At 39.4% G+C, this 22466-nt stretch overlaps 1 protein-coding gene across 1 annotated transcript in view, besides 1 other annotated feature; it reads left to right on the forward strand.

Annotated features, from left to right (window-relative positions):
* The window catches only part of TTLL5 (tubulin tyrosine ligase like 5), a 293834-nt gene that overhangs the window by 188545 nt on the left and 82823 nt on the right, over positions 1-22466 (forward strand). The window contains exon 29 of the mRNA NM_015072.5: positions 13877-14072. Coding sequence (NP_055887.3) covers positions 13877-14072 — 196 coding nt within the window. The remainder of the gene's footprint in view (positions 1-13876; positions 14073-22466) is intronic.
* Positions 13752-14256: an enhancer, noted in NCBI's record as "NANOG hESC enhancer chr14:76329885-76330389 (GRCh37/hg19 assembly coordinates)". NCBI's record gives its function as "activates a minimal SCP1, AML or CMV promoter by ChIP-STARR-seq in naive H9 embryonic stem cells {active_cell/tissue: H9 hESC(naive)}" and the evidence as "EXISTENCE:reporter gene assay evidence [ECO:0000049][PMID:30033119]".

A 22466-nucleotide genomic window follows, 5' to 3' on the forward strand; every position in this document is an offset into this window, starting at 1 on the left:
ATACTGTCATTAAGAATATTTGGTGACTGGTCGGGTGTGGTGGCTCACACCTGTAATCCCAATACTGTGGGAGGCTGAAGCAGGTGGATTGCTTGAGCCAAGGAGTTCGAGGCCACCCTGGGCAACAGGTTTGAGACCATCCTGTCTCTAACAAAAATACAAGAAATTAGCTGGGCGTAGTAGTGTGCACCTGTAGTCCCAGCTGCTTGGGAAGCTGAGGTGGGAGGATTGCTTGAGCCCAGGAGGCGGAGGTTGCAGTAAACCGAGATCATACTACTACACTCTAGTCTGAGTGACAGGGTCTCAAAAAATAAAAATAAAAAAAAAAATCTGGGGCCGGGCACGGTGGCTCATGCCTGTAATCCCAGCACTTTGGGAGGCCGAGGCGGGCGGATCACTTGAGGCCGGGAGTTCGAGACCAGCCTGACCAAAATGGAGAAACCCCGTCTCTACTAAAAATACAAAATTATCCGGGCATGGTGGCACATGCCTGTAATCCCAGCTACTAGGGAAGCTGAGGCAGGAGAATCGCTTGAACCTGGGAGGCAGAGGTTGCAGTGAGCCAAGATCACGCCATTGCACTCCAGCCTGGGCAGCAAGAGTGAAACTCCGTCTCAAAAAAAAAAAAAAAAAAAAAATTGGTAACTAAATGTGCAGCTGTACCCAAACAATAAATCAAAGTTTGAGAATTAAGTTTCTGGGACTCTGTCATTGACTCATAGTTCCCAGTGTTTATCAATGAATTTATTCATTCATATTTATTTAGGTGCCTAGTATATGCTAGGCACTTAGGTAGGTAGAAGACACGTGAATCCTGTTCTAAGATAACATGAAGTAGGAATTCCATGGAATAATGAATACCTGGGATGACAGGCAGGATTCACCGTGATTTAAACGGGCTAGAATAATGAATCTAATTCATGGAATTTAATAGGGAAAAACATAAAGCCTTTCACATGAGTTCAAAAATTCAAGTGTAAAGAAGACTTTAAGGGTTTAGGTTGACTTTAAATATAATAGAATTTAACAATAGAAGGACAGGTGCAGTGGCTCATGCCTGTAATCCCAGCACTTTGGGAGGCTGCGGTGAGTCCAGGAGTTCAAGACCAGCCTGGGCAACGTAGTGAGACCTCATCTCTACAAGAAATAAAAAATTAGCCAGGTGTGTTAGCACACACCTGTAGTCCTAGCTACTCAGGAGGCGGAGGTGGCGGAGGGATTGCTTGAGCCTGGGACTTAGAGGTTGCAGTGAGCCACGATTGTACCACTGTACTCGGCCTGAGTGACAGAGTGAGACCTTGTCTCAAAAAAAAAAAAAAAAAAAAAAGTTAATGGAATAAGAACTGCCAAAAGCACATATTATCTTGTGGGAAAATGTTCATAACATTATCAGATGAAAAAGCAGGTTATAAAGCATAGAGTATGGACTCATTCTGTTTGTGCAAGGGAAATACACACAGAGGAAGAATATACGTCAACATGGTGACAAAATGTAGCAGACGTCTTTGGTTGTTGGATCACGGATGAATTTCTCTATGCCTTTTTGTCTCTCAGGTTTTAGGCATTGAGAATATAATACTTTTATTCTTAAAAAATTGCTTTGGTTTTGTTTCATTTTGAAAAGGTGAAAGGGTATATAGCCGCTGCTGGTAATTTAGCCTTGGGGGAGGGGAGGAAGATTTGGTAATCTTTCTCATTCGTCAGTGCTCACATCCAGTGCCTGAACCATTGCTTCTCTCTGGTAATCAGCATTATTAGTAAACCCCCACTTCCCCACAGGAGCCACTCTGCCCAGAATTAGAGCATTCTGCAGCGGGATTGGCGTGGAGCAGCAGGCTTCCACCATAGGAAAGTCCCCTCCAGCAGGGGCCACCGTGCAGCCGCTCTCTCTGGCGGGTGAGACTGGCAAATGGACTTTACTCTCCTGCTCACACATCTGAGTGATTCTGGCGTCTTTTTTTTGGATCCAATAGTTTGGCTGCCCTCATTTATCACCCAGGTGATCTCACATAGACACAAAACTTGGTGTAAAGGCATTGTAAATACTGCTTTGAAGTAGTATACTTCTTCTTTCTCAGAAGCAGTGCTTGTTGTTTAGTACCCTTATTGGTTACCCCGTGCCCCGAAAGCTTGGGTTCACTTTCCATGGGAAGAATGTTAATAATAGCTAATGTTTACTGAACATTTATTATGCATGCCATGTGCTAAACGCTGTACATAGATTATCACATGTAATTTTTAGACCAACCCTATGAGAGATGGGATTAATTTTTATTCTCATTTCACAGCTGAGGAAACCAAGGCACAGAGAGGTTAAACATGTTGCTTCTAGTGGTAGAGCTAGGATCTGAACCTTGCAGGCTTGCGCTCGATCTCAGCCTTAGTCACTGCATTGCTGCCTCCCCTTCTGCAGGTGGTCCTGTGCAGACCCGTGGTGTGGACCCAGAGTGCAAGGCCTCCTGAATTCTCACTATCTCAGTGCTTGCATTGGGTTTGATTCCTTCCCAGCACCCAAAACCTTTTATTTCTTTTTGTCTTCTTTCTTGGATTATTTCTTTAATCCTTTCCCAGGAGACTTTCATCCTCTCAAGTAAACAAATTATTTAGAAGTTTTTAAGTCCTTTCACCCTGTTCTCAAGCAAGGAGACCAGCTTGCACTTACAATTTCGTGTAGTTATGTGCTTTTGACCTAGCATCAAAAGTTCACATAGTTTTTCCAGATTATTTCTGAGCTTTTCATGATCTCTAACACCATCCCTATTATACTTTAACTCTTCCCATAGAAGAACCATTTCTGTATAACTCCATAGGTTCAAAACAGGAAAAGCAGAAGAGAGTATACTCTTATCTCAAGGTGTAAACTCAAAGGTTAAAAAAAAATTAATTTCTTTAGTATTATAATTTTTAGAGATCACTTAAAAATCTTGTTCTAACACATAAATTCTCTAAGAATCAAAGCACTTGTCACCATGAGTGTGAACTCTTGGCAGGTCCGTCTAACTCACTTAAATAATGTTAAGCACAGATTTCATTTGGCTAGCTATCAGTGTTCCCAGTCAGCAGTTACTGACAGTTATTAACAGTTATAGTTAATTTATAATTTACCTTTTACATTAAGATTTCTTAGTAGACTGTTTCAGTATGTATTAAGTTTATATCTAAGTGCAATTCAGCTTTTCTTTTTTACTAATGAGAGTAGTTATCAATCATTCATTGAACGCATTTCATAAACAGATTTATTCTTTACAGAGCCTCCACTGTGCAATTTCAGTGCTAAATTTAACTATTATGACCCTTGACTCTCTTCTAACTACATTTGACTTTTATTATCAATATATCATCAAGCTTACTTTCAGAGCCAACCATTCTTTCTGCCCTTCATCCACAGGACTCATTTACACCAAGATTGTCACTGTCTTTGCATTTCTCACTTCTTCAGACCTTCATGCCAGTTTACTGGGTCATTCGGACTAACATGATTTTCATCACTAATGTTAACATATAAGCTAGCTCCCCTTGATTCTGCCTAACATCTCCTGGGCTTTAAACCCCTGTGTTAATACCACCTATTCCAGAGTCCTGCTATTCCTGACATTTTTTCACCTCCTCATTCTTCCTGTGGACTCGCCTGACAAGTCACTGCTCTAGGTCATGAGCTTTTAAAAAGCAGGAACTATGTGTTTTTCTTCTTGGTAGTCCGTAAGCACCTAGGAACAGTGTCCAATAAATGTGGATTGAATTGCACTGAAATGAAATAACTGCTTAGGCATGTATCTTTACATATGATCCCAGTATTGCAAAGTACAAGAGAGAAAAAGTTATTTTATAGCTAAAATCAGGAAATTATAAAAACAGGAAATAATAACAAGAGTTTTAATGAAAGATAAGTGAAAATGCTGTAACTTTTTGTTTGCATGTTTGTCTGTTTAAAATTGAGGTATAATTATGTAAACTAAAAAATCATCTATTTTGGCTGGACGCAGTGGCTTACGCCTGTAATCCCAGCACTTTGGGAGGCCGAGGCGGGCAGATCACTTGAGATCAGGAGTTCGAGACCAGCCTGACCAACACAGTGAAACCCCATCTCTACTAAAAATACAAAAATTAGCTGGGCGTGGTGGCACACACTTGCAATCCCATCTGCTCAAGAGGCTGAGGCATGAGAACTGCTTGAACCCAGAGGCAGAGGTTGCAGTGAGCGGAGACCATGCCACTGCCCTCCAGTCAGGGTGGCAGAGCAAGACTCCGTCTCAAAAAAAAAAGAGAGAGAAAATATATATATATTTTACTGTTCAATTTGATGAGTTTCAGCAATTTTATATATCTTTGTTAACCACCATGCAACACAACATACAGAACATTTCCATCACACTTCAAAATTCCCTTGCGTCTTTTTCCAGTCGATACTGCCCCTCCCCACTAGTAATCATTCTTCTGACTCCTCTCACTGTAGATTTGCTGTGCCTGTTCATGAATGGAATCATACAATATTTGTTCTTTTGTGTTTGGCTTCTTTCATTCAATACAGTGTTTTTGAGATTCATCTGTTTTGTTGCTTATATTAGCAGTTCATTCGTTTTTATTGAGCAATACTTCATTGTATGAATACACCACAATTTATTTCTGTAATGATAGGCATTAGGATTGGTTCCAGTTTTTGACTACTATGAATACAAATTCAGTGAAAATTCTTATGCAACTTTTTTTTAGCCACATTTTTATTTCTTTTGGGTCAATACCTAGAAGTAGAATTGTCCTGTCGTGTAAATATATGTTTAACTTTATAAGAAACTGACCAGTAGTTTTCTGAAACGATTGCATCATTTTACACCCCCGTCAGCAATGTATGAAAGTTCTAGTTGCTCTTCATGCTCACTAACATCTGATATTGTTCTCCATTTGATTTTAGTCATGTTAGTAGATGTAAGATGTTAGTTGCATTTCCCTGATGAGTACTGATGTTGAGAACTTTTCATTTGCTTGTTAGCCAGTCACATATTTTCTTTTGTAAATTGACTGTTCCAATCTTTTACATGTTCTTAAATCTCATTATTTTTGTTATTCATATCAACAGTTACCAATAGGGCATTTTTATATTTTATCACTAGAAATCCTTTGTCACATATACATACCTATATTGCAGATATTTTTCCTCAAAGGCATGTCTTGCTTATTCATTTTCTTTTCCTTAGTGATGTCTTTTGATGAGCAGAAATGTCTTGATCATGGTAGTTTTATAGTAGTCTTGAAATCAGGTGATGTAAGTTATCTTTTTCAAGATTGTTTTGACTAATATAGATTCTTTGATTTTTCCCTAATGTGGCAATCAACCTTTCCTGCCACCAGAGGTATGCTAGAAGAAAAAAAAAAAAAAAAGAAATAAGAAAAAAAAAATCAACATGTCAGTTTCTTCAACAACAAAAACAAAGCCTGCTGGAATTTTTATTGTGATCGCTTTGAATCTGTAGATTGATTAGGGGGTAGTTTCCAGTTCTGGCTAAGTCTTTATCTGATCAACCTACTTGATAAAATATAAAATACAACTATTTAAAGGCACTGGAGGGTGAACAAAAGCTGATTGATACTGGAGATGAATCAACATTTGAAAGAAGGGAATTGCCACGGGTGAGTTTTCTGGGTTTTTGTTTGTTTGTTTGTTTTCTGTTGTTGCCTTTTCACTTAAGGGCAAGTCATAGTTTGCACCACATGGAGCAGATAAAACTTGCCCCAAAATCTGCAGTCTAACTGGCTTGGTGAACTGGAAGATGGAGTTCAGGATAACCACATCTGCTGTAGAGGGAGAGGGGAACTCTGGAAATGAGACATCTCCAGAAGAGGGGAGCCTAAATTCTATGTAGAAAGTTTTCCCAAATCTCTGACTGACCCCTGACTAATGCATATGCAAGACATACTTCAAAGCATGCAGGTAACACAAAAAGAACTGATCTGAGCTGCAGCCCACGGAGGAGAAGAAAGAATTGCAATTTGAGTTTCTCCAGGTTAACCATCTACTTAAAACACATACACACACATTCTTTAGAGCGACATAATACAATCCAGTCTCTACAACATATCATTCACAATATCCAGGATACAATATGAAATTATTTAATGTAGGAAGAAATAGGAAAATATGACCTATCCTCAGAATAAAAGATAATCAATGAAGACCAATCCTTAGAAGGCCCAGATGATAGAATTAACAGACAAGGATTTTAAAGTGACTCTTATAACTGTGCACAAGGATGTAAAGGAAAATATGCTTTAATGAATGAAAAATACAAAATATTGACCAGGTGCAGTGGCTCATGCCTGTAATCCCAGCACTTTGGGAGGCCGAGGCGGGCTGATCACCTGAGGTCGGGAGTTCAAGACCAGCCTGGCCAACATGGCAAAATCCCATCTCTACTAAACATACAAAAATTAGCCGAGTGTGGTGGCACATACCTGTAATCCCAGCTACTTGGGAGGCTGAGGCAGGAGAATTGCTTAAACCCAGGAGGCGGAAGTTGCAGTAAGACAAGATCATGCCACTGTGCTCCAGCCTCTGAGGTACAAGAGTGACACTCCATCTCAATAATAATATAATAATAAAGACAGATTTCCAAATGGAAATTGTGAAACTGAGAAAAACAATATCTGAAATACAGAATAGACATTCTAACAATATTGAGTCTCCCAGTGAGTCAACATGGTATATCTTTGTACTTATGTAGGTTTTGTTTAATATCTTTCATTAGTGTTTTATAAATTCAGTGTAGTGACCTTATGTATTTTCTATTAGATTTATTCTTAGGTATTTGATGTATTCTCATGATATTATAAGTTGTATTGCTTTTTTTTTTTTTTTTTTTGAGACAGAGTCTCTCTCTGTTGCCCAGGCTGGAGTGCAGTGGCACGATCTCAGCTTACTGCAACCTCTGCCTCCCGGGTTCAAGTGATTCTCCTGCCTCAGAATCCCCAGTAGCTGGGACTACAGGCACCCGCCACCACTCCTGGCTAATTTTTGTATTTTTAGTAGAGACATGGTTTCAACATATTGGCCAGGCTGGTCTCAAACTCCTAACTTTGTGATCTGCCCACCTCCGCCTCCCAAGTGCTGGGATTACAGGCGTGAGTCACCACACCCAGCCGAGTTGTATTGCTTTTTAAAATTTCATTTTCCAATTGTGTATTTCTAGAATATAAAAATATGATTTCATTTTGTTTATGGACCATGATTACTGCAACTTTGCTACATTTATTTATTAGTTCTAGCAGTATCTCTCTAAAGTTTATAAGGTTTTCTATGTAAACAATCATCTGTCAATGAATAATATCTTTTTTTCTTGTCTTAAACTGGCTAGGTCATCCTTTACTGCTGTTGAATAGAAATGTTTTCTAGTTTACTAAGAGTGTCTGTCAGGAAATGGGTATTGAATTTTGTCAAATGCATTTCATGTCTAACGGTATTAATATATGACTTTTCTTCATTCTCTTAATGTGGTGAATTATATGATAGATTTTTTTTCTAATGTTACCCTTGCATTCCTATGGTAAATGCCACTTGGCCATGATATATTATCCTAGTGTATTTGATTGGTTGGTTGATTAGATAGATAGATAGATAGATAGATAGATAGATAGATTTTATTAGCTAATATTGTGTTAAAGTTTTTTTATGTATCTGTGTTCATCAGGCATATTGGTCTGAAAAGACCAAAAGAAAGTAATTTTTTTTTGTACTATCTTTGTCAGATTTCTGTATTAGAGATATGCTAACCTCATGAGTTGGGAAGTTTTTTTTTTCTCTGCTCTTTTTTGGAAGAGTTTGTGAAAGGATGGAATTATTTCTTCTTGTTTGATAGAATTCTTTTTTTTTTTTTTGGTGGGGAGGGGGAGACAAGAGTCTCACTCTGTCGCCCAGGCTGGAGTACAGTGGCACAATCTCCGCTCACTGCAACCTCCGCCTCCCAGGTTCAAGCGATTCTCCTGCCTCAGCCTCCTGAGTAACTGGAATTACAGGCACCAGCCACCACTCCTGGCTATTTTAATATTTTTAGTAGAGATGGGGTTTCAACATGTTGGCCAGACTGGTCTCGAACTCCTGAACTTAAGCGATCCGCCCACCTCGACCTCCCAAAGTGCTAGGATTACAGGAGTGAGCCACCACGCCTGGCATAGAATTCATTTTGTAATCATCCGGGCTTAGAATTTTCCTTCTATGTAAGAAAATATTAAGGTTTTTAAAAAGGTTTGATTACAAATTAAATTTTTAAAATACGTATTGCAGCAGGTCTGTGATTCTCAAAGTGCTATTATTGGACCTGGGGGCTGCGGAGAGGTTGGGAGGAGGGGGGATCCTCAGGACCCTTTGAGGAAGCCAATAGAATCAAACATTTTCATAGTGGTACTGAGACATTTCTACTTTTTTCACTGTGTTGACATTTGCACCGATGGTACAAAAACGATGGTGGGTTTTGTAAAACTGCTCGTGCCTTAGCACAGATCCAGGCAATGGCACCAAACTGTAGTAGAAGTCACTGTATTCTTGACCACCATAGCATTTTCACTTGAAAGAAATGCCAGTGCTACTTAAGAGTATCCTTCATAAGCAGTAATATTTTCTTAAACTCAACCCTGGAGTGTATATCTTTTTAATATTCTGTCTGACAAAATGAGATGTACACATAAAGCAATTCGGCTGCTTAGTATGTAATAGTTGTCTCAAGGAAAGGCATTTGTGACCCTGAACTTGAAAGAGCATCTATCTGATAGACAAACTAGGGTTATTTGGATTTGGATATTTGGCAGTTGTTTCCTCAAAAGTAAACAGTGAGCCTATCACTTCAAAGAATACAACTGACAGTATTTGTTGTCAATGATAAAATTACAGCTTTTCAGGAAAAGTTTGACTTTTGGAAAACGTGTATCCACCACTGTGAGTTTGACATCTTCCTAATACTTGAAGATTTAAATATCTGTACATTTCACAAAGTGCCATTGAAGTGAATAGACTTTCTTGTAAAGAAATAATTTCTCCCCAGAAAGCACCTCCTTCATGGCCTTATAGTGTTTCTCATCAGAAGCACCACTGGCATTTTAAGCAGCACACATTTTCTTAATACAAGACTATTCCTTTCATTTCTGGATATTTAACACCCTGACCTCCGCCAATTAAATGTCAGTGACACCTCCACCCCCATCATTGTGACAATTGAAAGCACACTCACAGTTGCAAGCACGATCAAAAAGAGCAGGGGCATCCTTGTACATGGTAGCTTGTGTTTGGCTGGACTTGGGTGGAGGAGGCTGGGAAGATGGACCGTGGAATCACCCTCTATACAAGTGTCACAGTCCTCTGCATATCTTTATGGAGAGTGCAACTTCCATTGAGATTTTGCTTTACATTTTTCAGATTCCCTCCAAGTTCCCTAAAACCAGTATCCATTTGATGGAACAGATATTAAACCAGAGGAAAAGTATAGCTCTTCAATGTTTATTGGCTGGAGGTTGCAGGTATGCTGCAGGAAGGGCAGTTGTAGAGAAAAACATTTCATCCTGCAGTGCCACAGTACAATATAGAAAGTAAGATAAAGTTCTAAATGGATAGGCTATTAAGAGAATGTAGTATTTAGAAAAATTTGCAATATTGTTGCCTATTTGCTACATATGTAAAGGGGAAATACAGCCTAATTCACTTTGAATCAGATGTTAAGCACAGAACCTTCCCACAGCTAATTCTCTTGGCTCTGTGTACTCTGTTGTAGAAGTAAAGTAAATCAATTAGAAGATATTTACGGGGCCTGTGTACAATATTATGTTTTAGCATTGAGCAAGGAAAAACACTAAATTTTGGAGAGAATGATTGAACCTCAAAATTTTTGGTAGGAGTAGAAAAAACATTATTAGAAAAATAGAATTCGTTGAGGTTCAAGAATGGGATGGAATTTTGCATTGAAATAGAAAGTATGAGATGCCTAGAAAGGAATATTTAGATATATAAACTTGGGCACCAGAAATCAAGGAAAGGCCAAGTTATGGTACACCTGGCCTCCGCTGTGTCAATCATTATAGCATTAGCATACTGCAAACCCCAAGGCTTGTGCTTTAAGTGTGAGAAACCATGGGCTGAGTGACACCCACTGTAACTCAAAGCAAGCAAGTTTCTCGTGGCACTTATTACATTACACAGCTGAGCATTTCTGCCCCCACCCAGTGTTGCAGTGTAAAAATGCCTGCCTCTTTGCTAAAAGCCTCTACTTGCTTGAGAAACTTCCTTTTGTGATTTGTAGACTGGGCTTATGTTACTGAGGAGATTAAAAACAGATTTCATTATAAAAGTTTATGATGTTCCAGTCCGTTCAATATGTGTGCAGTTGGAGGAACACATCCTTTCTTATCCATAATTCCTTATTTGATCTTCTCTTGCCCACTGTCCTACCCTTTATATATCCACAGACCCCCACCTCATATTCACACACCTGCAAACCTGTCCATGATCATCCCCACATAAAGGGGCCTGGTTTGGTTTCAGACTTTGATTTCTGATACACAAGAAGGCATTAAAGTGAATGTCTCCTGGGGATATTTGTTATTAAAACAGCTTTTAGCAAATGAACCAATCTAGCCAGTGAGATGAATTCTGATGTAAGCTTCATAGTTATATAAATACTGTAAAATCTAATCACTGAGTCTAGATTGCTTTCTGTAGCTAGCAACTTCTGTAACCAGCAAAGCAGGAACGAAAGCAGAACCACTGTTGATGGGCTTTCTGAACTTTAGTCCAGTTGTAACTAATAGTTTAATTCTGGATTCAAAGCAGCACCTGCCCTAATTGGTGTGGAAATCTCAAGGTTAGCCAGCTAAAGCAGTTTCTTCTTTTTCACCTGTTTCTTTCCTTTGTATTCATTTGTTCACTGGATCAGCCCACTCCTGCCTTGAACCTAGATACCTTTCTTGGTGGCTCCCCCTTTCGTTCACAGCTCACTCCGTTCCTTTAGCTGAGCCAGTAGCTGTTGAGTAGTTTTGGGTGTTTTATCTTCAGTAAGCTTTTCTCTTCCCTCACTAATGAGAAAAGAGATAATAGGTTCCTCAGGCTCCTCCTTTCCTAACGATGTCATCCTGTTTTACTGTCACTCAGCACCCTGCTTTGTGAATAATGTTAACATTTCACTAATGTATTGAAGTATTTATTTATATTTGATCAGTGCTCACCATGTTTCTCCATACGTCTAGAAGTCTCTTGGGAAAGATCATGCCCTTTTAACTGTCTGATAACATGCACACTGAGGCACTTCAAGAAGGATCACTGAAGATCAAATGTCGCACTCAGAAAACTTAATAGATAAGCTCTGAGCTTTTTGGTGTGTTCTCCAAGAAGATTAGGAGATGGTATACAATTGAGCAACTGAACTGTGGGAGCCAAACTGTGGGAGGAGATGAGTAAGGGATGTGACATATCAGAGGTGAGATTATGGGATAGAAAGCCGAAAGAATACAGTTCACGGACTTACCCTTAACGAGAGATTTGGAAATCTCTCTAAGAGAGTTGGGAAACCAAAGCAGAGGCCCGAAAAGACCAGGTTGTGAGGGAGGGCACAGGCAACAGAGGAGCATGGACTTCTGAGCTTGGCAAACATTTCACTTTGCTCCCTCCTTCAGTGCTCTGTTGAGTCATCAGGACCCAGGCTATAAATAACCCTATGTGGCTTTTAGGTGAGGACTCTGGAAGGTCTGTGTAGCCTCACTTCAGGGTTCCTACACCTCTGTCATTGAAATGACTTTAATGACAAAGGAAAGAATAACACTGATTTAAATCACTATGAATACTTTTCTCAATTTAGGCACCCTTTCATTTTTCTAAGCCCCCTTAACCAGGGTTTGGAGCAAGGTTGTTCATTATGAAAGTCTTATGTTTCTTCTATGTACAATTTTCCTGTCACTGTACCTAAAAAGGAAAAGAAATACAGTGTAATTAAAGATGGTCCCAAGAAGAATAACCAAAAGTGTTAAGGAGATGGAAGGACTGACAAGACTGTTCTCAAAAGAAATGAGACCTTTAGAAAATCATACTAAAATATATTTAGCATAAAATTTACCATTTTAACCATTTTAAAGTGTACAATTCAGTGGTATTTAGTACATTTATACTGTTTTGCAACTATTAGCCACCATCTGTCTCCAGAACTTTGTCATTATGCCAAACTGAAGCTCTGTACTCACTGAAAAATGACTTCCTATTCCCTAATTCCATAGCCCTTGATAATCACCATTCTACTTTCTGTCTCTAAAATTTGCCTATTCCAGGTACCTCACATAAGTGGCATCATATAATATTTGTTCTTTCGTGACTGACTTATTTCACTTAGCATAATGTCTTCAAGGTTCTGTACATGTGCTGCAGCATATGTCAGAATTTCCTTTCTCTTTAAGCCTGAGTAATATTGTATGTAGATTCATCTGTTGATGGACATTTGGGTTGTTTTCACCTTTTGCCTATTTTGTACAATGCTGCTATGAACATTGGTGTACGGTTATTAGTTTTGATTTCAATTCTTTTCTGTATATATCTACAAGAAAAATTGCTGGATCATTTGGTTATTTTGTGTTTCACTTTTTGAGGAACCCCTAAAGTGTTTTCCAGAGTAACTGTACCATTTTACTTTCCCACCAGCATTGCACAAGGGTTCCAGTTTTTCCACATCCTCAGCGACCCTTGTTATCGTCAGGTATTTTGTTTTAATAATAGCCAAATGGGAATGAAGTAGTATAAATGGGGTCTTTTCTACTGGGAAAAGTGATCTGAGAGGGGAAATGTAGGAGGCTATAGTTGTAAAGACTTCTGCTAGGAAGTACACAGACATGGTCACCAGAATCTAGAATTTGGAGCTGGGTGCAGTGGCTCACGCCTGCAATCCAAGCACTTTGGGAGGCTGAGGTGGGCAGATCGCTTGAGCCCAGGAGTTTGAGACCAGTCAGGGCAACATGGTTAAACCCCCGTCTCTACAAAAAAAATATATAAAAATTAGCCAGGCATGATGGCACACACCTAGAATCCCAGCTTCTCAGGAGGCTGAGGTGGGAGGATCACCTGAGCATGGGGAGGTTGAGGCTACGGTGAGCTGTGATTGCACCACTGCACTCCATTCTGGGCTACAGATTGAGACCCTGTCTCTAAATAAATAAATAATTTGGGCAAGGAAGATAGTCAAAGTATTTAACAAATACTATAACATAGCATAGGTACTGACTACTCAAAAAGGCCACCGGCCCTTCGCCTTCCTCAGGTGTACAGATTGTCAGCCTCAGTGGGGACCCTGTGAGGTAAATTTGGAATAATGAAAAAAAGTGTCTTCCCACACCATTTATGTTACCCAGTCATAGGGACATAAGCTCAAATATAAACAACTTCTAAAAAATATTTAGATATTTAACTGATGGGTGGTTGAGAGAAAACAAATTCTGTGTGATGAACCCTTTTCCTTTTGAAGTTGATGTTAGAGAAAATGATCATGCATCTGTTCCTGCCTTAAGTTAGCCCCCCATCCTGCATTGGAAGCTCTCTGGACTCTTCTTGTAGGTCTTCTGGCAATCACAGGGGAATGAAATTGCTATTTCAGTTGTTTTACATCCAGCTAATATTTATTGTACATTGACTGTGTGCCAGGCCTTATGATACGTGCTAGGAAAAGAAGAGAGTGCAAAACAGACCCTGTCCTTGTCATCATGGAGCTACGGTTTAGTGGGGGAGTGAGATAATATCACACAAGTAGATTTGTAATTCCAAACTGTGCTTGGTTCCATATTGGAAAAATACCTGAGATATTTCTCTCCTTTCCTCTAGATTGTTCATACAGCCACTCACTCTAAGAAACCTGCTTGCTTTTCTCTTCAGGAGCCTGCAGACAGGGGGATTTGCCTGGGAAGGAGAAGTAGAAAACAACGTGTACAGCCAGGCTACAGGGGTGGTCCCCCAGCACAAGTATCACCCCACAGCAGGCAGCTATCAGCTTCAATTTGCCCTGCAGCAACTTGAACAACAAAAACTTCAGTCCCGGCAGCTCCTGGACCAGAGTCGAGCCCGGCACCAGGTAATTCAAGATAAGTCTTTTCCATGTGTTATATCTTCCTGCTGTTGGTAAAAAAAAAAAAAAAAAAAAAAAGGTCAGTGAATGAGAAATGTAGGATTAGTTTTCCAACCCCGTGCCATCCTGGCTTGGACAGCTCATGGGGAGTCTACTCTTGAGGAAAAACTGTTCTGGAGCCATAACACTGGCTTTGCTTGAAAGTGATGCTTAACCAGTGTTTGACATGTTTTTTTTTCATTTGAATGCTTCTATACAAAAATCTCTATTGTGGTGTTTACCCTTTCTGTTGTATGATCTTAGTTTATAACCTCCCATAGGGTCTGATTCTAAGATACCTGAAAGCTTGTATTTTAAGCATCTTTATTTCTAAATGTTCTACTTTCTTGCCTTGATATACTTGGCATATGTGCGTGATATTACTCATTATCTAACAAGATTTTCAAGGAATAAATAAGTTGCAAGTTCTTCTGGTGGGAAATGGACATATGTTAGCATGCAGGTCATCTATAAATGATAGCTATTCATTCAACAAATGTTTACTGTGATTCTACTGTGTACTAGGCACTGTTTTAAACAGTGGGGCTATAAGGTGACTGTACACACAAAAATCCTTGCTGTTGTGCAACTTATGTGTAGGGAGATGTTGATTCGCTACTCACTGTCTATAAAATGCCAGAAACTACTGAGTGAGGGAGCTATATAAGTATATAGCACTAATATATTAGTATGGCCCCAATTGTAGAGAAAGGATGACCTCACCGAAAATTCAGGAGTTAAATTTTTCTTGGTGACTCAGGATCATCATTAGAATAGTTACTGTGTTCTACAGTGGGGTTATTGGAATGAATTAGTACTGATTCTATAAGCTTTTCTGACATTTGGTTATGTGAAGAAATAACTTTTTATCAGTTTGATCTCCTGATCATTTTTTTCTTATAAAAATGTAGTACATAGTGTGTATGAGTTTGTGCAAAATTATTTACTCAAAGACTAAAGCAACATTTCCCAAAGGTTTTTTCCTCTAAGTAAAACAATTATTATTATAGTCTGTCTTATCTTTTCAACTACCACCCATAATAAAATGTCATTTTATTATTTCAACATAGTTCATCAATTGATCATCTTTACCTGCGGTAGTATACTCTGTACATTATATTAATTCATCATAATTGAGAAATTGTAAGTGCCGGCATTTGCAAAGTAGTTCTTTAGACCATTTTTACTGGAGAAAAATAAAATCTCTTAATCTGGAAAGCATAGAATATAGCATCTCATTGTAATCACATCACTTTCTGTCATGTAAAATTTTCTTCATTTAGAAAATCTTGAGGTCTTGAGGATAGTAGACACATTTAAGCCAGTTTGCATTTTCACAATTCCAGATACAAATGTGTGTCTTAGTTGTTGTTTTTTTTTTTTAATCTGTGTTCTTAAATTTCTTAAAGCTTTTTAAACTTTAAACTCCCTGTCATTCAGAGTACTTGAGAATGCCAACTTAATCAGATACTGGATAGTGGAAGTATCACTGTATAGCCTGAAGATCAAAAAACTACTTCTCAGGTCCTTGGCTCATTACCTGGGCCACAGAATAATGTGTGCACCAAACCCCCGCAACACGCCATTTACCTTCATAACAAACCTGAGCATGCACCCCTGAGCCTAAAATACAAGTCAGAAAAAAAAACTCTCTGGCTCTAATGAATCTAGACAGTTGGTACCTTTTAAACTATGCTTCAATACCTTGAAATGGAGGATGACTGGGGAAGGAGAGGCAGTTTTGTTGATTTTCACTTTTAGAAACTGCTTCATTTTTAAGTCCTTCTCATAGTTTTGATTAGCTTCCAGCAACTCACATTCCTTTGAAAATTCAAAGTACTGTACTACTATTCTTGTGTGGAATTTCTTTTCACTGAGGATTATACTGGTTTAGTTTCACTGAATTATGAAGTATATGGAAATTATGTTTTTTAGAATCTGTCAGAATATCTGTTTTAGCGAGGAGGCAGAACTCCCAAGAAGGGAGTTATCTCGTTCTCCTGGAGAGCAAACAGAAAATCATTCATCATAATTGTATATATGTGTGTAACATTATTTCTTCTCCCCAACACCCCGAACCCGTTCTTCTAAACCACAGCTGATTTAGGTAAAAATGAGTAAGGGTGAAGTTTCTGGGACTGTAGGAGAGAGCTAAAGTAACTAAATTCCATTAGCTTCAAGAGTTTATAACTAATAAGATAACAAATAAGATATTAAATATTCTAACAGGAAGAATATGTAGAAACTTAGAGCACTTTATTTTAGAGGGTACTTAGAATCATTCCACAGTGGAAGCAAAGCCCTAGTAGATTTTATACCTTTGTAGCTTAGCTGTGCTAGATCTGACCATTATAATTATCACTAAATTGTTGATTGAAGCATGGTTTACATTCTCAGTATTCTGTATTTCTGTCCTGGGGTTACCCTTTAGATAGCAATGGTACTTTTCCAATGAACTCCTTGCACTTGGATTCATTTCTCTAAAGTGTAGGGAGCCATTGGTATAACTCACAGTGTGGTTAACTGCCTGTTTGAAAGCAGTAGATAGAATTGAAATCTGATTTACCTAGCATTCATCCATAAAAGAGGCCTGTTTATGGAATGCGATGTTAAAGGAGGCCTTATATTTATCTTATATCATATTATGTTTATGAACAGCATCTTTCACATAGTAATCTCCTAATAATGTCTGGGGAAAGTTCATGCAGCCTTTCTCTCATTGTGTACATAGGAAGTTCTCCATTCTTTTCGGCCTCCAGTCAGAACACTTAGATATCCAACTTATTGAAGGTGTTAATTTCTGCTTAAACTCTGATTCAGGATATGAGTTTGGAAATGGACATCTCTCAGTATTCATGGGGAATGAGCTTTGATCTTCATCTCAGTATAGCATTGCACTCATAAATGTAGCAATTGTCATATACTTAATCCACTCCTGCAAAAGACTGATCCTGTGACATGGGAGTGAGAGAGGAAAGTCACCCAGAGCCAGTGGCGGAAGTTTTCAGGAACAGAGATACAAGAAACTTGGCGTGATCCAGTCCATATGATAGAGAGCATAATAAACAAAATAAGACAAAATTGAAACAATGAGCTTTTACACACTGATGGTAAAAACAGCAGTTTGAAAAACATTGTTTTAAGTCAGAGCAGAGGTCAGCAAACTTTTTCTGTAAATAGCCAGATAGTAAATATTTTAGGCTTTGCAGGCCATAGCATCTCTGTTGCAACTACTCAGCTCTGCCATGGTAGAGTGAAAACAGCCATAAACAATATGTAAATGAATGAGTGTGGCGGTCTTTCAACAAAACTTTATGTACAAAAACAGGCAATGGGCTGGATTTGGCCTATAGGTCCTAGTGTGCAGACCCATAGACTAGAGTAACAGAACCATTTGAAGGGCTTGTTAAAACAATTGTTCCTCCATCCCATTTCTGATTCATTAGGTTTGGAATAACCTAATGAATAGGCAGAATCCTCCCTTTTTGTTTTAATAATAATAGCCACCACTTAAGCACTTGCTGTGTTCCAAGCACTATTCAGGGTTCTCTATACACATTAACTCATTTAAAAATGAATTTCAGGGCCGGGCGTGGTGGCTTATGCCTGTAATCCCAGCACTTTGGGAGGCCAAGGCAGGTGGATCACAAGGTCAGGAGTTCGAGACCAGCCTGACCAATATGGTGAAACCCCGTCTCTACTAAAAATACAAAAATTAGCCGGGCGTGGTGGCGCATGCCTATAATCCCAGCTACTCAGGAGGCTGAGGTAGGAGAATCACTTGAACCCGGGAGGCGGAGGTTGCAGTGAGCCAAGATCATGCCCCTCCACTGCAGCCTGAGTGACAGATTGAGACTGTCTCCAAAAAAAAAAAAAAAGCAAAAAAAAAATTTCAGGATGGTTGTGGGAAGTACTGAATCTCAAGAGTTAGGAATGATCAAACAAATCTGTTATATATTGATACAGCCCAATGCATGTCTTCTAATTCTGTCTTTCTTCTCCTGCTGTCTTCCTGCCCCTGAAGGAGAAGGCAAAAGAAAACTTTTCTTTCAGCTGAGTCGGGGACTTTCTTGGGTAACAGTGACTACTGGTGACATCAGCATGAGTAGCTCTCCATGCTGGGGTCTGTGAGGAGGGCTGCACCGGCTGTGAGGCCTGACTGACCTGATTCTAATTGCAGACATTGAGCTGATGTTATTCTTGGCGCAGGACAGAGCGATTACTCAGTAGTTTCTGTTAAAGTGATCCTTTGTTAAACTTCTGCTCCCAACCCACTCCCTGCTTCCTTCCCTCCCACTCTCTTCTCTGCCTCATCCACAGTGAAAAAGAGCCCCAAAAGCAGAAAAATTAAGGACATATTGATGGCCAACACAGAATTGCCGAAGTTTCCTTTAACAATCATGGGAGAAAGGAGAGATTTTAAATACATCTTAATTCTTCACTGGTTCCGGTCTCTTTCGAAACCCCTTCAATTTTTAGTAGACTTAATTTTCAACATTAGTAAATAACTCAAGGTAGGAGAAAACTGTGCGTCCTAAATTTCTCTCATCCTTCTGCCCCATCTGTTCTTTACTTTTCCCTTCCCACCATGTCCAAGTTTACCAAACTAATCTGGATTCAATAATCCTAGCAGAAACTAATGTTCCTATAACAGGCAGGACTGGCAGCAGCTCATTGTTCACATCAAGAGGTCTTTCAGTTTGCTGGTAACATCTTGAGTGCAGTGTGTAACAAGCTTTTTGCTAATGCTGTGTGTGTATATACACAATCCCACAGGTGTGGAAAGGATTCCCATATAAACCGAACCATGTCTTGTTATTTTGCTCCTAAAAGTTCATTGCACGTGTCTAAAAAAATTCTGCCTCCTCCTGCAGGAATGAATTCTGTTTCGCCAAGCCTTCAGCTGCTGTGTGTTTGTGTTGTGGAGGAGGGGAGGGGAAAGAAAGAGAAATTCAGCAGGCACCCTGTCTTTTTCCAAGCAGCTGGCAATAACATGCTAGCTCCTCAGCGTGGCACAAAGAGCAGGCAAACAGTCTAGCCATGCAGGAGGTGTCTTGATACATCTTTATAATGGCGTATCAGAGAGGAAGGTTGGACTGGGGACATGAGAGGGGAGGAGTGTGTGTGTGTGTGTGTGTGTGTGTGTGTGTGTGTGTGTGTGTGTGTGTTTAAGTTCCAGAGCATATTGACTCCGGAACTTAATGTCATAACCTATTGCTTCGTTGTTTTTTTGTTTGGTTGGTTCTTTTGTTCTATTTTATTTTCCCACTTGACTTTTAGCAGGAACTCATACTTAGTGTCTAGCTTTTAGTTATTATTGATTTTCCTAGGACCACTTGATTTAGTAGATTTTGCCAAGCCAAACTTTTATTCTTATTTAATGAAAATACATAGAAAATACATGAAATAATACTGCATTCGGTTGTTTTGGAAATAGGCCACTCTAGACAGGCTTTGGAGTCAGATAACCCACAGCTTAAGTCTTGGCCCTGTCTAGTCCGTGACTTAAGACAGGTTATTCAAACTTTTAAAACCTCATTTTCCTTATCTCTAATTTGAAGATGATGATATATACCTGTGTATTATCATGATTGTAGTTCTCAGGATGTGATATTGATATTACCATATGTCAAGCACCAAAGTGGCCATTTTTTTGTATTATCTCAGTGGATCTTTACAGCTGCCCTCTTATTAGCCTCATTTCACAGATGAAAAAGCATAGTATCAGTTAGATAACTTTCTCTGTGTCACATAAGTAATAAATGGTAGAACTGGGATTTGAACCCAGGTCTGTCAGCCTGCAGCATCCAAGCTCATGGCTATTATGCTATATGCTGCCTCCTGCTGCTAATAAGGCATTCAATAAACAGCAACTGTAAGTACTATTACATAAATTCTAACTTGCAATGTATACATTCAACAAGTATTTTTTTTTTTTTTTTGCGATGGAGTCTCACTCTGTTGACCAGTCTGGAGTACAGTGGCGCAATCTCAGCTCACTGCAACGTCTGCCTCCCGGGTTCAAGCGATTCCCCTGCCTCAGCCTCCTGAGTAGCTGGGACTACAGGCGCACACCACCACGCCAGGCTAATTTTTGTATTTTTAGTAGAGATGGGGTTTTCACCATAGTGGTGAGGACGGTCTTGAACTCCTGACCTTGTGATCCACCCACCTTCGCCTCCAAAAGTGCTGGGATTACAGGCGTGAGCCACCATACCCAGCCAACAAGTACTTACTGACTCCGATGAAACTATGTTTGAAAAGTTATTATCAGGTCTCTTCACCAGTCTCCTACTATTCATAAGCACCATCTCAAAAGAAAAGTTTTCCTGCACTTAGGCCTAGACGTCATCCCAATTACCTCAATCTTTTTTTTTTTTTTTTCCTTTTTCTGGAGAACGGGGTCTCGCTATATTGCCCAGGCAGGTCTTGAACTCCTGGGCTCAAGCTATCCTCCCACCTCTTGCCTCCCTGAGAGCTGAGATTACAGGCGTGAGCCACCACGCCCGGCCTCTCCTCAATTCTTAATGAAAGAAATATCTTAATAAGGTGTTCTTGGGCGTAACAATCTTGGAAATGCCCATCCTTTACCCTCCCTTGTACTTTTATTAAGTAATGGGTTTAGCACCTAACAACACATGCAGTATCCTGACGTTTGTTCTAGAGGTTTGGATAGTAGGAGCACTTGTATGGGTTGTTACTAATTCCTGTGTTATTAATAATACAGGAATGATTTCTGTAATTATTATTTTGTCCTTTCAACACTGTTACTGGTAATGCTATTTTAATTTTATTTCTATGATAGGTGTTTTTCAGAAGACTCCCAGGAAACCTGACAGGTGTCTACAAATGTGACTACCACAGATGACATGTTTGCTTAATTCATATTATGCTTGCTTTGGTTTTTTTTTTTTTTTTGAGACGGAGTCTTGCTCTGTCGCCCAGCTGGAGTGCAGTGGCTCGATCTCGGCTCACTGCAAGCTCCGCCTCCCAGGTTCACACCATTCTCCTGCCTCAGCCTCCCAAGTAGCTGGGACTACAGGCGCCCGCCACCACGCCCAGCTAATTTTTTGTATTTTTAGTAGAGACAGGGTTTCACTGTGTTAGCCAGGATGGTCTTGATCTCCTGACCTTGTGATCTGCCCACCCTCGGCCTCCCAAAGTGCTGGGATTACAGGCGTGAGCCACCACGCCCGGCCTATGCTTGCTTTTTCAATATCATATAAGTCTGATCTTAGTGTATTATTACAATACAGACTTTCTTTCATTGTGTTAACTTATTACTGATAGTAGCATAAGTACCCTGGTTATCATCATGTTGCTTTCTAAGCTGCTCCTAGGGGAATATTCTTCTGGAATCTTAGAGGAAAATGAACACGCAGTAAATGCTTCCTGTGCACCAGATGTAGTCTTATCTCCATTCCACTGATGAGGAAATCAATGTTCAAAGAGTTTGGGTAACTTAGCCAAGATCACACAGCTGCCTGATTGTGGAGATAATATTTTTACCAGGTCAGAGGACTTCCAAAGCCCCTTTCCACTCTACCGTCCTCCCCCACGACAGAATTGACTCTTCGTTTTCTTTTTAGTTTACATACTTATCAGTCAGATAAGGCATTCCAGCATTATTGCTGCTGCACTGCTATATACTCTCGTATACACAAATCTTTAAAAAAAAAAAAAAAGGGTCAGTGTAACCAATTAAGATTCAGAACTCAGCTTGGTTGCTGCAGCTGTCTGGTGACCAGTTTTATTCTCTTCCCTCACTCCGTGGCCTGTGGTTTGTTTGTTTGTCTGTAGGTATATGAGGGACTCCCAGCAGTAACTTTGTGTGAGATGATGAAAGACTTCAATCCATCCATCTGAGATGGTGGCAGCCAGGGGAAAAATACTTAATGAATATGTGACAGTAAGGTCTGTATAAGATATGCACAGTAAACCAACCATGTGAGATCCTGGGCCAAACAAAACAAATTATACATTTGAAGACAGAGACAAGTTAGATGTTTATAACCTCAAAGTTGTAAAGGAAACTTAGAGATTGCCTTTGACTAATTATTTCATTTTAGTAATCAGGACACATAAGATACAGACACGTTAGGAGAACGGGGCCCTGATATACAAATAATTTCTTATAAGTACTAACAAATAAAAGTTAAAACACACAATTGAAAATGAAGCAGACCTATCTTTATTTAGCCAGTTGAGCTTTCTATCTGGGGTCATGGCTGATCCTTTGATGTTATCTGTATACATACTCACACTTTCACTTTAACAATAAGTAACAAACATTTGCTTACAGACAATAATTTTTTTTCAAACTTTCCTTTCCTTCTCAAGAAAGAGAATGATCTTGGAGCA

Source organism: Homo sapiens, chromosome 14 (assembly GCF_000001405.40).
Source record: "Homo sapiens chromosome 14, GRCh38.p14 Primary Assembly".
Lineage (NCBI taxonomy): Eukaryota > Metazoa > Chordata > Mammalia > Primates > Hominidae > Homo > Homo sapiens.